At 43.5% G+C, this 14,156-nt stretch overlaps 1 protein-coding gene across 5 annotated transcripts in view, besides 1 other annotated feature; it reads left to right on the top strand.

Annotated features, from left to right (window-relative positions):
• MYO10 (myosin X) overlaps positions 1 to 14,156 on the top strand; it is a 274,382-nt gene that overhangs the window by 218,589 nt on the left and 41,637 nt on the right. For 4 of the 5 annotated variants that reach the window (XM_006714475.4, NM_012334.3, XM_005248307.3 and 1 more), the window contains 3 exons: positions 6,455 to 6,579; positions 6,678 to 6,792; positions 13,015 to 13,121. In XM_006714475.4, the coding sequence (XP_006714538.1) occupies positions 6,455 to 6,579; positions 6,678 to 6,792; positions 13,015 to 13,121 (347 nt within the window). Of the gene's footprint in view, positions 1 to 4,254; positions 4,371 to 6,454; positions 6,580 to 6,677; positions 6,793 to 13,014; positions 13,122 to 14,156 lie in introns of those variants that run through there. The other variant, XM_005248306.5, reaches the window with a different exon arrangement.
• Positions 6,137 to 6,638: an enhancer, noted in NCBI's record as "H3K4me1 hESC enhancer chr5:16711171-16711672 (GRCh37/hg19 assembly coordinates)". NCBI's record gives its function as "activates a minimal SCP1, AML or CMV promoter by ChIP-STARR-seq in primed H9 embryonic stem cells {active_cell/tissue: H9 hESC(primed)}" and the evidence as "EXISTENCE:reporter gene assay evidence [ECO:0000049][PMID:30033119]".

Genomic DNA, 14,156 nt, shown 5'->3' with positions numbered 1-14,156 from the left:
GGTTGATATGCGAAGTAAGGATATGGTCCGCTGATGATTGTCCGTGTTTATGGGAGTAGCCAGAGTTGGATTTGCTCAGTTTGCAATTTGATTTTCTAAAAGCTCTTCTTTATTCTCTAGTTGCTTCCATATGCAGATGTTTGGCTGAACTCACAATGTAGCAAACTGATTTCTTATCGATGTGGTCGTGGCCCTTAAAATTGTGATCTTTAAGTCGCCTGTATTAGACCAAGTCAGTACCTGACAAGTTGATCTCTAGGAATGTTCCTTGTGCTTAAATCTCCAGAGAATGTCTGTGTTTCCAGAAGACGGATTGCCACTGGGAATGATACCTTATAGACCACATTCTCTGCCTAGGTTCCACTTAATCTTTTCCCTAAAGAAGTTTTCATTCCTTTCAGAGTTATATCCCATGGTAATATTTCCCAGTTTTATAATGTGTCAGTAGGAAAATAGGTTTGATGCATACGAGTTTGATTTACATGCTAGTTTTCAGGAACGCAAAGCTCTTTGAGACTTACTTTTTAACTTCTTGATTTAAGCAAATGTTAAAACCAGTTTAAGGCCGCGCGTGGTGGCCCAAGCCTGTAATCCCAGCATTTTGGAAGGGTGAGGTGGGTGGATCACCTGAGGTCAGGAGTTCAAGACCAGTCTGGCCAACATGGGAAAACCCCATCTCTACTAAAAGTACAAAATTAGCCAGGTGTGGTGACACATGCCTGTAATCCCAGCTACCCATTTGGGAGGCTCAGGCAGGAGAATTGCTTGAGCCTGGGAGGCAGAGGTTACAGTAAGCCAAGATCACACCACTGCACTCCAGCCTGGGTGACAAGAGTGAGACTTCATCTCAAAAAAATAAAAAAAATAACCGGTTTGAACAAGTCATTTTGCCTTCCTAATTTCCAGTCTCGTTATCTACAAAATGGCTTTTCCCTAAAATCTTGGCCGGCTCTGGAAAAACCCATGGCTCCTGTGTGACAAGCTGGATTCCTACCACCCCCAGCCACGTCTTCCTGGGCTCTTCTCAGGATGCCTTGGTTGGTTTTTGCGAGTTTCTCAAATGCTGAAAAACATTATAACTTTAATGGTCCATGGATAATAAACTCACTGTATTTTCTTTCATTAAATAAGCACAGATTGAATGTCCCCTTACCATAGGCAAATGGCTGTTTCCAAATCCACTGTCATACTTCTTATTGTCATGCACTGTTCATGAAATTATGGAAGGCTCGGTAATGTTCAGGGCAATTGGATTCATTGATACATAAATAAATGCATTTCTGTCTTCATTGGGAAGCACCCTCCCTGCTCTTGGTGTCCCTGTTTGTCAGCACCTCTGTTGTCCTTTATCTAAATAAGCTGCAGGAGGTAAGGATTGCCTGTAAGTGATTTTTGTAGAGGGTTTAGTGTGCCCTGTTATTAATCATTATTAATCATCTAGGCATTCTGAAATAGTATTTTTCAGATTGTGTGGAAATAAGTATTTCTACTTATTTTTGGTAGGATTAAATTATCCAAAGTATACATTAAAACTACATAGATTTCGTCCTGTCTCCAGGATGCAAACTTTCTCTTCCATCCATTTCTTGTCCATTTTAAATGCCTCAGTGTTAGACTGGTACTTAATGTACTTTTTTTTTTTTCGAGACGGAGTGTCACTCTGTTGCCCAGGCTGGGGTGCAGTGGTGCGATCTCAGCTCACTGCAACCTCTGCCTCCTGGGTTCAAGCAATTTTCCTGCCTCAACTTCCCAAGTAGCTGGGACTACAGGCACATGCCACCACACTCGGCTGATTTTTGTATTTTTAGTAGAGACAAGGTTTCACCATATTGGTCAGGCTGGTCTCGAACTGCTGACCTCAGGTGATCCACCTGCCTCGCCCTCCCAAAGTGCTGGGATTACAGGCGTGAGCCACCGCGCCTGGCCTTAATGTACTTAAAAAATTTTTTTAACAGCTTTTTTGAGATATGGTTCTTATGTCATGTAATTGCCTTATTTAAAATCTGCAATTCAGTGAGTTTTAAAATTTTTTACAGATATGTGCAGCCGTCACCAGAGTCAATTTTAGAACATTTTCGTCACCTCAAAAAGAAACCCCCAGGCTGGGTGAGGTGGCTCATGCCTGTAATCCCAGCACTTTGGGAGGCGGAGGCAGGCAGATTACTTGAAGTTGGGAGTTCAAGACCAGCCTCACCAACATGGAGAAACCCCATCTCTACTAAAAATACAAAATTAGCCAGGTGTGGTGACAAATGCCTGTAATCCCAGCGAGACCCTGTCTCAAAAAAAAAAAAAAAAAAAAAAAAATTTCAATCTTACGGCACCATCGCCATATCTGTAGTCTGTCGTTGACTGAAACATCATTATGTGGTACATGACTACATTTATACGCATATATGTAGCTAGAGCAGGGATTTTTGGAGAGGAGTGATCATCTTTATTTTTTTTTAAGTAAGATTCTTTCTAGCTTGTTTTTCTCACTCAATAATACCTCATGAAAGGCCCTAGAGTCAATAGGTATGTCTTCAATTTGATCTTTTTTTTTTTTTTTTTTGTCCAATTGCCCTATGTTGTTCTTTTAAAAAATTTTTTTTTAATTTATTTTTGTTGTGTATTGATGGGATGTATGAGGTATTTTGACACAGGCATATGACGTGTAATAATCATATCAGGTAAATGGGGTATCCATCCTCTCAAGCATTTATCCTTTGTGTCACAAACAATCCAGCTATACTTTTAGTTATTTTTAAATATGCAACTAAATTATCATTGGCTATAGTCACCCTGTTGTGCTATCAGATACTAAATATTCATTCTTTCTATTTTTTGTACCCAGTAACCATCGCCACTCCCTGCTACAATTTGTTTTTGTTGTTGTTGTTGTTTTCTCGCTCTGTCGCCCAGGCTGGAGTGCAGTGGCACAATCTTGGCTCACTGCAAGCTCTGCCTCCTGGGTTGACGCCATTCTCCCGTCTCAGCCTCCTGAGTAGCTGGGACTGCAGGCGCCCGCCACCACGCCCGGCTAATTTTGTTTTTGTATTTTTAGTAGAGACGGGGTTTCACCCTGTTAGCCAGGATGGTCTCAATCTCCTGCATTTGGTCTTATTGGCTGCATGACATTTTTATGACGTGCGTGGTATCAGAATATACCCAGCTGCTGCCCATTTGGGGATGCTCTTGTTCCTAGTGTTGTTGCTGCCACCGAGGGGATCCTTACCCAGCACAGATCTGACCCCGTTGGTCTCTACTGTGAGCCTCCAGTGACTCCTTGTGACTCCTTCTTATCTTGAATACAAGAACCATGCGTCCATCTTCCACCCAGGTCCTTCCCCCTCTGTTCCATCCCATCCTGTTGACTGAACCTGCCAGGTTCCTCTTGGCTTTTCTTCCTGTTTTTTTTTTCCTGTGGGGAATGCCCCTTCCCTCCAGCATTTTAAGAGTCCGAGCTCTAGTTCAAATCTGTGCACTTCCCATGCCCCCTCAGTATTTTTCTCTCTCCAAGGAACTTAATTTTAATCTTTAATTATAGTTTAATATTAGGCTTTCCGCTATCTAAGTACTGATGTACCTGTCCACCCTCCTAAATTGCAGGGTCCTTGGAAACAAAACACAGCTTCCACCTTTTTGAAAAAAATCTTCCCTGATCATGAATTACAAAACCTTGCACATAGTAGGTGTTCAGTAAATATTCAGTAAATGGATCAAGTGACTGTAATTGCCCTGGTTAGAGGCTGTTTCTTCCAAACTCCAACCTATTTGTCGCCATCGAGACTTCCCTGTCGGTACACTGCAGGCAGTCTTTGTTGGAGTGAGCTCAGGTTCTGGAAAACTAGTTAGTTACCAGTGGAGGCAGCGCAGTAGCAGAGTTTTGAAAGGCGAAATGCCTTTAAGTTGTGCCTTGTCCAGCCTCCAGCTGTGTCATCTTTGAACATTCAATTCACCAGAAAAGGAAATTGCAGCCGAAAAGAAAACCACCAATGGAAATCCAGATCTACCCCCTCGTGATTGTGATCGCAGGGTGGGTTGCCCGGGGCGACAATCAGCCTATAGATCCCCCTCCCCTGGTTAAGTTACTGGGAAGGGGCAGGGACACAATCGCAATGGGAGCCTGGATCTCGAGGCCGCTCCTTGCTCCCTCCCTCCCCTCCCCTGGCTGTGTCAAATCCTACAACCACACCACACTAATTAGCCCGAGAATGGAAGGGGTTGTCATGGCGACCGGGCACTTTTTAAAGCACAGGAATGGTGTTCATTATTGTTCCATGTCTTTAGCTGTGGGGAAAAGGTCAGTGTGGCAGTTGTTTTCCATATGAATTTTGGCCCAAGAGCCAAACTGAAGGTGAGATGCCCCTTGGAGAGACAGGAAGATGGTGAGTGTGGCTGAACTTTTTGGATGGGGAGGCCCTTTTGGTGTAATATCTTTAGTTTTAATAACTCGAGCTTCGGACTGGGGAATTGTACAGACTTTGTTCTATAGAGACTGGGAGAAAAGAGGGGATCAGGAACAGGGAAAGCCTGAGAGATAGAGATATTTTGGATGAAAGTCTTTGCGCATCAAGTGATTAAATATTAAGTTTAGAAGGCTTCTCTGGTAGTATAAATTTAACAAAGTTAAGTAAGTCTGATACTTTATTCAGTGTTCCTTTTATATTTGCTCTATACAGTGCTGCTTAGATTATATTCCCAAATAAATCTCACAGAAGCATTGTAACCAAATGCCTTCAGAACAGTCAGCCACCCCCCAACCCGCATTTTTAAATCCAGAGATACGGCATAAGAGTCACCAAGGCTAATTTTGTTTTCATATTTTTATGCTTTTCTTACTTTTCTGAGGATAATTTAATCAAGACTAAAAACAGAGAACCACAGTTCTTTGGATGTTTGCCCTAATTTGCTGGCTGCACTTGTTTGGAATACTGCTAAATAAAGACAATTTGACCACAGTGTTTGTAGAAGAAATTAAATATGAGAGAAGTCAGCCCACTAGGGCTGATGGCAGCTATTCCATCAAAAGCTGTGAGGGACAGTTGCAAAGCATTCTTTAAATTTATTTTTTTGCCAATTTTGAAAGCTTGCAGAATAACACGGCTTTATGCCTAATTCTGTGTTAATGACTGCATTTTTAAGGGTCACAAATTAAGCCACTTTGCATTCTTGTATTTTTTTAACAGTTAGGTCCTATGGCACTATTTTTTTGTCATTGTATTCACAGTTGTGTGGGATAACAACATGCAGCTTAATTAAAGGGAACACGGGTGGGTGGACTGAAAAAACAAACCACTGTCCCCAGAGTTCCTAAATGGCCCACTTTTTTGCTTTCCTCTGAAAACCTATTGTCCTGGCCCCAGTGCCAGTTTGTTTGGCAGCTGAACAAATAAAAGAACACATTTCAGAGCATTAAGTCTTGGTTCTGATTTCCTCTGTCTTTAATTTGTGTGTTCTCAGGCTTATTTAGTGATCAGAGTATGGAGCTCTCAATAAATAAGTATTTGACTAGAATTTGAGCAAAGTCAAACTCTTTTTCGCCTCTATGTCTTCCAAACCGGCTAGCGTGGTCATCTCCCCTTCCCCATCCCCACCCCCACCCCCACCTCACCTGCCACAGTGTGGGTATCCACCCATCACCAAGTCACTGTGTTCTTAGGTAAAAAATGACTTTAAATTCAAATTTAAAAAGTAAAATAAAGTGACATTTGTATGACACTTTAAAGTCTTTGCAGAAAAAATAGATTTTAAAGTGGTGGTACATTTATGATATTTGTGATACAGCCAGAAATGTGAACATGGATATTAATATAAAGGAATTATTGTTATCTTTTAAGATATGATACTAGTGTTATATTAACACATGACATATAGTAGAATCTTTGCAAATGAGGTGATGCGATGTTTGGGATTTTCCTTTTTTTTTTCTTTTTTTCTTTTTGTTTTTTGAGACTGCTCTGTCACCAGGCTGTAGTGCAGTGGCGCCATCACTGCAACCTCTGCCTCCCGGGTTCAAGCAATTCTCCTGCCTCAGCCTCCCGAGTAGCTGGGACTACAGGCGCGTGCCACCACGCCTGGCTAATTTTTGTATTTTTAGTAGAGACGGGGTTTCACCATATTGGCCAGGCTGGTCTCAAACTCCTGACCTTGTGATCCACCCGCCTCGGCCTCCCGAAGTGCTGGGATTACAGGCGCGAGCCACCGTGCCCGGCTGGGATTTTCTTAAACATAAGGGGAGGGAGGAAGTAGCTTGTGGATGGGGCAGGATTGGCAGGGGTTGACGGTTGTTAAGGCGAGGTGATGGTTCCACTGGGGTTCCTGTGCTAGTCTCTATTTCTGTGTAGGTTCAAGATTCTCGTATGTGTTTTGAAGCGGGGTAAACCAATGATGGAGGTGGCTTTATTAAGCCTCCCTTATCGAATTCCATTTTTTCTAATGGTATCCCATCTTTTTTTTTTGCATGGTTTAGATGCCAGACCAGTTTGACCAGGCGGTTGTGCTGAACCAGCTGCGGTACTCAGGGATGCTGGAGACTGTGAGAATCCGCAAAGCTGGGTATGCGGTCCGAAGACCCTTTCAGGACTTTTACAAAAGGCAAGAGGGAGCTGAATTGGATTCTCTTTCTTTTCAAAGGGGTTGGAGAAAACAGGGAACCATCGCAGAAGGTGACCCTGTGTGTCTTCACGTTGCAGGTATAAAGTGCTGATGAGGAATCTGGCTCTGCCTGAGGACGTCCGAGGGAAGTGCACGAGCCTGCTGCAGCTCTATGATGCCTCCAACAGCGAGTGGCAGCTGGGGAAGACCAAGGTACGATGCGGAGAAAGAGCAACTCCCACCGAATCCCTGACAGATCTCGGGGTGATGCTCACAGGGTTTAGGGCTCTATGACACCGCTATACAATTGTTCTTTCACATTGGGAAGATACTCCTGTTGCCATGCCTACCATAACCTTTTGTCTCCCAAACAGTTACTATTTTATTTGAAGTGAAGTCCTTGACTTGTCAGGGACTCTGTTTCATTAGAGAACACATTGAAACATCTCATCCTAATTGTTTGTGTGTGGGTATTTGTTCAGGCAGTAACAAATGTTGGCAGACGAATAACAGTACTTTGGAAGTAGGAGGCAGCCCCCAGTGTCTACAAAGCGATACCCCAAGACCCTTCTAACTTTCTCTAATTCAAATACTGGCTTTTATCCCTGCAACCAGAGCAGCGACTGAGCGAGAGATCAGTAGCCGGTCTGAAATCCTTCTGGTTGTCAAAAACTCAGTCCAGAAAGCAAAAAGGAAAATCTACGTTTGAAGATGCTGTTGGGGCAGAGGCTCCTTAACCCCCTTTTCCAGATAGGAGCAGAGTATGGGCAGTCGGGCCTGAACATAAAAAATTAGTCACAAAATTTGTTGTATGACTTCTTCTTTCTGGATCAGGGAACTGCCAAGAACCTCGTTTGGCTTCCACTCTCATTCCCCACCCACCTTCAATGACTTGTCACATGGGAAAGACAGCAATGTGACTTGACACAGAAATGCAGGCAGCTGAGGACACATGTGTCCTCGAAGAGTGAATCCTCATTCCCGCTCCTTCTGCCCTTACACACAGCAGTGCAATGTCAGAGAAGTATTTTAAAGCTTCCACTCATAATATGCTGTTTTTAATCTAGAAGTTTCTTGCTTTATAAAAAGAGGAAAGGAAAGAGGGAGAAAGCGGGGGAAGAGAGAGACGTATGTCTTGCAGTTTGACCAATGTGAGATTGATGAAAAGTACTTAGGCTTCACCTCCTGGACATTCAGCAAGGGAAAGTCATGATGGACCTACTACCTCCCTGCTCTAGGGAAATTTTTTACTGCTGACGGATTTGAGATATAAACACAAAACAGGGTAGAGATAGCATGCAGAGATAATCACATGAGCTAGCTATTGCTTTGTAATACATTACTGCAAACTTCATGGCTTTAACAACACACATTGATTATCTCATAGTATCTAAGGGTCAGAGCTGGGGCACAGCTGAGCTGGGTCCTCTGATCAGGGTCCCCCAAGCCTGCAGTCCCTGTATCTTGGGGCTTTGTTCTTTTCTGGACCTCAGGGTATCTTCCAGGCTCACTTGGTCATTGGCAAAATTCATTTCCCTGTGTTTTTGAGGACTGAAGTCCCTGTTTTCTTTCTAGTTGTTGGCTGGGAACCACTCGCAGCTCCTAGAAGCCCTCAAAATTCCTTGACACATGGCAGCTCACTTCTTTCAGGCCAGCAGGATAACCACATGCTCCAGCGTAGGGTTGTAGCGTTCTCACAGAAGTGATATCCCGTCACCTTTGCTGCAGTCTAATGGCTAGAAGCAAGTCCCAGATTGCACCCCCACTCAGGAAGATTAAAGAGGGTTGTAACCCACTGGGGGCCACCTGAGGGTGTGCCCCCCGCAGGTGATAGGTCTCTCTGCCTGGAATCTTACTCTCCACTCCTGTAGCCAACTCATCTTTAGGTCTTGGCTTAGAGGTAGACTTTGAAAGGACTCCTTTTTTGACATTCCTCAGTGCACCCTATAGCTGGGGTAAGCCCCCTCCTCTGTTGTCCCAGGTCATCCTCTTCTTAGCCCTGATGTAGACTTCATATGCTGTCCTGTTGTCTTGCTGTTGGCTTCTCTACGATCACCCAGTAGAGCATGTAGAGCTGATTGTTCATTCTACACAGTGCTGAGCTTAATCAGTGTCTATGAGGTGCTGAAAAACTATAAGAGGTGACACAGGATGTCATACATTTATTAGGAAAACTTTCTGAAGAAAATGGCTCAAGTGGAGCTCTTGGCAGTGCAATACAATCTGCTCTGATTTTGTTTAATCAAAAAGAAATTGCAAGCCAGGCACAGTGGCTCACATTTGTAATTCCAGCACTTTGGGAGGCTGAGGCAGAAGGATCGCTTGAGCCCAGGAGTCTGAGACCAGCCTGGAAAACATAGTGAGACCTTTTCTCTACTGAAATTCAGAAAAATTAGCCAGGCGTGGTGGCATGTGCCTATAGTCCCAGCTACTCGCGTGGCTAGAGTGGGAGGATTGCTCGAACCCAGGAGGTCAAGACTGCAGTGAGCCCTGATCATGCCACTGCACTCCAACCTGGGCGACAGAGTGAAACCTTGTCTCAAAAACAAAAAGAAATTGCATTCTCTATAAACGAGTCACCTCACTGCCTTCTACAGTGGAGTAACATTAGAGATCATTAAAACTCAACCCAGCCATTAACAGTCTTTTCTGGGCTCCAAGTACTAATCCAGCTTCACTTAGAATTTACATTATGGAAATCAGGCCCAAGGCAGGCTTGGGACGTAGTGTAGCATAGGGGACACAGAGACATGGGCGTTGTCCTCAGTTTACTGTGTTGGAAGATAAGATATTCACACACAGTGGATGAATTAAATCATGCAGTACAATCTTTTTAAAGGAGTAAGGAAACAGCTTCTTCAGGAGAGAGATCCCTATGGATTGAAATGATCAAGGAAGTATTCAAGATGAAGAAGTTTTTAAAGAGGAGTTCAGTTTTAATTGGTGAAAAGTTGGGAGTAGAAGTTGGATGGAAGTTTATTTTTCCACAGACATGTTAGGAAGTAAATGCAAACATCAAAGCATTTGAATTGTGGCTTCTTGATAGCTTTGATCTTGACCAGTGTTTGAGTTACATGTTGGATAGCAGGTGTTTTGGTGTGTTGCCACCAGAAGGTCTTTCTGTTTAAAGCCTCAAACCTCTAATGAACTTCTGGTCTTCTGGTAAAGGAATGTCTGCCGTACACAACAGGCAAGTTTAGCCAGTGTCGAAGGCAGCGAATTAGACATGGCTCCAGGTCTGAACTGGCTGACTTATCCAAAACATATTTGTTCTTGTAAGGCAAGCATTCTTACCTAGAGGACTGGAGAAGCATTACTAGGAATTGAAGCGGCCTGTCGGATGCTTCACGGCACAGCCCGTGGGGAGGAGATTGCAATGTATTTCCCTGCTGAACAGCTGCGTTTACGGTGACTGAGGTGGGCAGCTGGTCCCTCTCCTTCCTGGTTTTGGCTTTTCCCACTGCCTCAAGGATTCCTGAAGACTCAAGACTTTTACTTTTCTGACCCTCTGGACTTCAGTGTCAGACTTTTCTTCCTCAGTTCTGTGGCAATGAAGCATGCAGGAGGTATTTTTATAAAGACAGTGTACTAGAATAACCCACAGGATCTTAAGCTACCTAAGAAGATAAAAGTGAAAAAGAACCACGTGAAATGGTTCCTGTTGGATATTGAGTCAAGTTCAGCCAAGCAGCGCCTGAGTGGGTACCACCCTTTGCTCAGCTGCTTTGGTGCCTGCTTTGATGCCACATTCCCAGTCACTAGGTTGTGCCAACTTGGTCTTGGCTGAGTCCTGGGAACATGGCAAAGTGACACAAGGGCTCACAGAAACACTTTCTGTATTAGTCTGTTCTCACACTGCTAATAAAGACATACCCGAGACTGGGTAATTTATAAAAGAAAGAGGTTTAATGGACTCACAGTTCCACATGGCTGGGGAGGCCTCATGATCATGGCAGAAGATGAAGGAAGAGTAAAGGCACATCCTACATGGCAACAGGCAAGAGAGCATGTGCAGGGCAACTCCCCTTTTTAAAACTATCAGATCCCATGAGACTTATTCACTGTCGTGAGAACAGCATGGGAAAGACCTGCGCCCATGATCCAATTACCTCCTACCAGGTCCCTCCCATGACACATAGGAATTATGGGAGCTACAATTCAAGATGAGATTTGAGTGGGGACACAGCCAAACCTATCACTTTCCTTCTGTCATTGTCTAATTCAGGGTTCGTGTTCTTAATGAAACTGACAGGTCCCTAAAAGCATTTTCTCTATTTGTTTGCCCTTTAGGTTGGTGAAGGAGAATGTAAATAAAGATGTGGAAGAATGCTTTTTAAAAACATATTTATTTATTTATTTTGAGAGCTGTCTTTTTAATGGACTGAAAACTAAAGCAAGTATTTGTCTGATTCTGATTCTAACCAAGACATTCTTTTGACTTCCAATGGTGGAGAAGACCTTTGTTCCTTCACAAAGGTTTCCACTTGTTCACGTCATCGCTGTGTCACTCATGAGAGTTGACACTTTTGTCTCTTTCGTCACCACCACCCCCTTCCCCAAGATTTGGCTGTTATTTTTCCTTTTAAGCACTCATAAGAGCAAAAGCATTAGAGTAAGATATGTAATACCAAACAAAAATCTCAGAGAAGTTGAAATGCTTCCTTAAAAGTCCAGTCTTGATGAAAACTGCTTTTGCTACGTGATTTTGATATGTACAGGGAATTCTGTATTTCTGAACATCTTTAATGATGATTACATCCAACAAACTTTACACTTGTAGCTTCTGCACCAACAGAGTGTGTGTGTGTGTATATATATATTCTCATGTATATGTATATGTGAATATATATGTGTATATATGAGTATATGTGTATATATATGAGTGTGTATATATATGAGTATGTACGTGTGTGTATATATATGTATATATGTTGCTTTGAGACAGAATCTCACTCTGTTGCCCAGGCTGGAGTGCAGCAGCATGATCTTGGCTCACTGCAACCTCTGCCTCCCAGGTTCAAGCGATTCTTCTGCCTCAGCCTCCCAAGTATCTGGGATTACAGGCACCCCCACCATGCCTGGCTAATTTTTTGTATTTTTAGTAAAGGCAGGATTTCCCCATGTTGGCCAGGCTGGTCTCCCAACTCCTGACCTCAGGTGATCCACCTGCCTCGGCCTCCCAGAGTGCTGGGATTACTGGCATGAGCCACTGCGCCCGGCCAACAGAATATATATTGTATATATAATACAATAATAATTGTATTATAAGGAGAGGATTGTATGAAGAGCTTTCCTAGGAGAATGATTTGTGATGGAGTTTTACCCAGAGCAGGAATAGGTACGGCTGTGAGTCACAAGGTGGTAGGACTCTTTATTTGCTTTTTTGCCCAAATGTCATGGAGGACACAGAGCAGAGAACCTGGAAAAATGTGCCATTGGGAGAACGTGATGCACCATTTTAGGCCAGAATGACGCATGGAAGCGTAAAGTAAAAAATTGCGGAGACACCAAAATGCATCTGTGTGGATTGTTAACAAAAAAGCATGAAAATGTTTGATACTGGTTGTTATAGGGAATCATTCAAAATTTCTTATGCGTGTATTAAATCTGAAATGGCAAAATTAAAAGCCACTTTATCAAGAGAAGGTCCTGGTATTTTCATATCTTTTCAAAAACTAGGAATTCTAATACAAAGTGCCAATTACCTGACACACTTATTTGATAAGCAGAGGATGGACGTGTCCATTCTCAGACATAGGCAAGCAAACAGCTACAATTTATTTAGTCCTGATTCCACTGTGCTTGTGCTAGTCAAACTGAGATGTAGCTGAAATAATTCAGTTCTCATTTTAAACTCAGTTTTCAGAATAATGTTCTTAACGTCAATATTTTGAGTGCATTTAAGTTTTTGAAGCCAAGATACTCTGATTGTAATCACATAGCAGGCACAAAGAGAGGATTTCCACATAAAGGCAAAATAACGTTTTAGAAATTTCTTGGCTTCCCTTCCTTCCTCCTTTCCTTCCTCTGCTTTCTGTATCTCTGAATCATATTACGTAGACTCAATGTAGTGACCAATGCTGGTCCATGAACTATTCGTCCCAGCCCATGATGTGTTAAGTGTTGAGAAGCTTAGATAGCAATTTGGTAGTCATCTTATGCCTGTTGAATTCAGTAACAATAACCATAAAAGGCACTTGTATTTGTATGCAGCATTTTTGTTTTTCCTTGTAATATATCTTTATTGGATTTTGCAACTGTTTTAGCCCATGACAGGTGGAACCTTTAAAAAGCACTATTCTAGAAAGCATGGCCATGTGGTGGATCAAACTAAGAGAAAAAAGCCTTAACTCCAGAAGATATCTTTGACTCAGAAATGCCTTCCTTCTGCTGGCCATGTTCTTTGCTTCTGACATGTGACTCCGTCCTGAGCAGGTCTTTCTTCGAGAATCCTTGGAACAGAAACTGGAGAAGCGGAGGGAAGAGGAAGTGAGCCACGCGGCCATGGTGATTCGGGCCCATGTCTTGGGCTTCTTAGCACGGTAAGAACCCCACGCTGAGGGGATAAGGCAGGAAGCTCCATGAGGGGGTCCTTCCTTCCCAGTGTGTTCCAGTGGAGTGGCCTGAGGTTTTTGAATTGAGGGGAGCCTCAGGTCAGGCCTCCTAAGCAGCCACTCCCGAAACCTAGCTAGCCTGACTGGGCAGCAGGTAGGAAAGGGAGCTCTGCACTTTTTGACTTCTCAGGTAGAAAGAACAGTGACAGCAGGGAACTCTACTGAGATCTATTTATTTATTTGAGGCAGGGTCTTACTCTGTCTCTGAGGCTAGAGTGTGGTGGCACGATCATGGCTTATTGCAGCCTTGACCTCCTGGGCTCAAGCAATTCTCTCACCTCAGACTCCCAAGTAGTTGGGACTACAGACACACACCACCATGCCTGGCTAATTAAAAAAAAATTTTTTTTTTAGAGATGGGTCACTTCATGTTGCCCAGGAGGGTCTCAAACTCCTGGGCTCATGGGATCCTCCCGGCTGACAAAGTGCTGGGATTACAGGTGTGAGCCACCGTACCCAGCCTTCTCCTGATATTTAAATTATTTGCTTACTTCCTCTGCGTCAGGTCTTGAAGCCACAGCGGCCTGGCTGTTCACCTTGGTGTTATCATTTTGGCTATAGAGACCCATCCTCCAGCTGTTTGAGGAATGAGGTGACTTCTTTTTTTTTTTTTTTTTTTTTTTTTTGAGACAGAGTCTCGCTCGCTCGTCTGGCTGGAGTGCAATGGTGCGATCTCAGCCCACTGCAACCTCCGCCTCCCGGGTTCAAGTGATTCTCCTGCCTCAGCCTCCCAAGTAGCTGAGACTATAGGTGCATGCCACCACACCTGGCTAATTTTTGTATTTTTAGTAGAGACAGGGTTTCACCATGTTGGCCAGGATGGTCTCGATCTCTTGACCTTCGTGATCCATCCGCCTGCCTCGGCTTCCCAAAATTCTGGGATTACAGGCATGAGCCACCGCACCTGGCCTGAGGCAACTTCTCCTCATGTGCGTTTTAGTTGCATCCACTATGCCCGTGAAA

The sequence above is a fragment of the Homo sapiens genome, chromosome 5, assembly GCF_000001405.40.
Source record: "Homo sapiens chromosome 5, GRCh38.p14 Primary Assembly".
Taxonomy (NCBI): Eukaryota; Metazoa; Chordata; class Mammalia; order Primates; family Hominidae; genus Homo; species Homo sapiens.
Note: the sequence above shows the minus strand (reverse complement) of the source record. Positions and strands in the feature narration are given on the sequence as shown.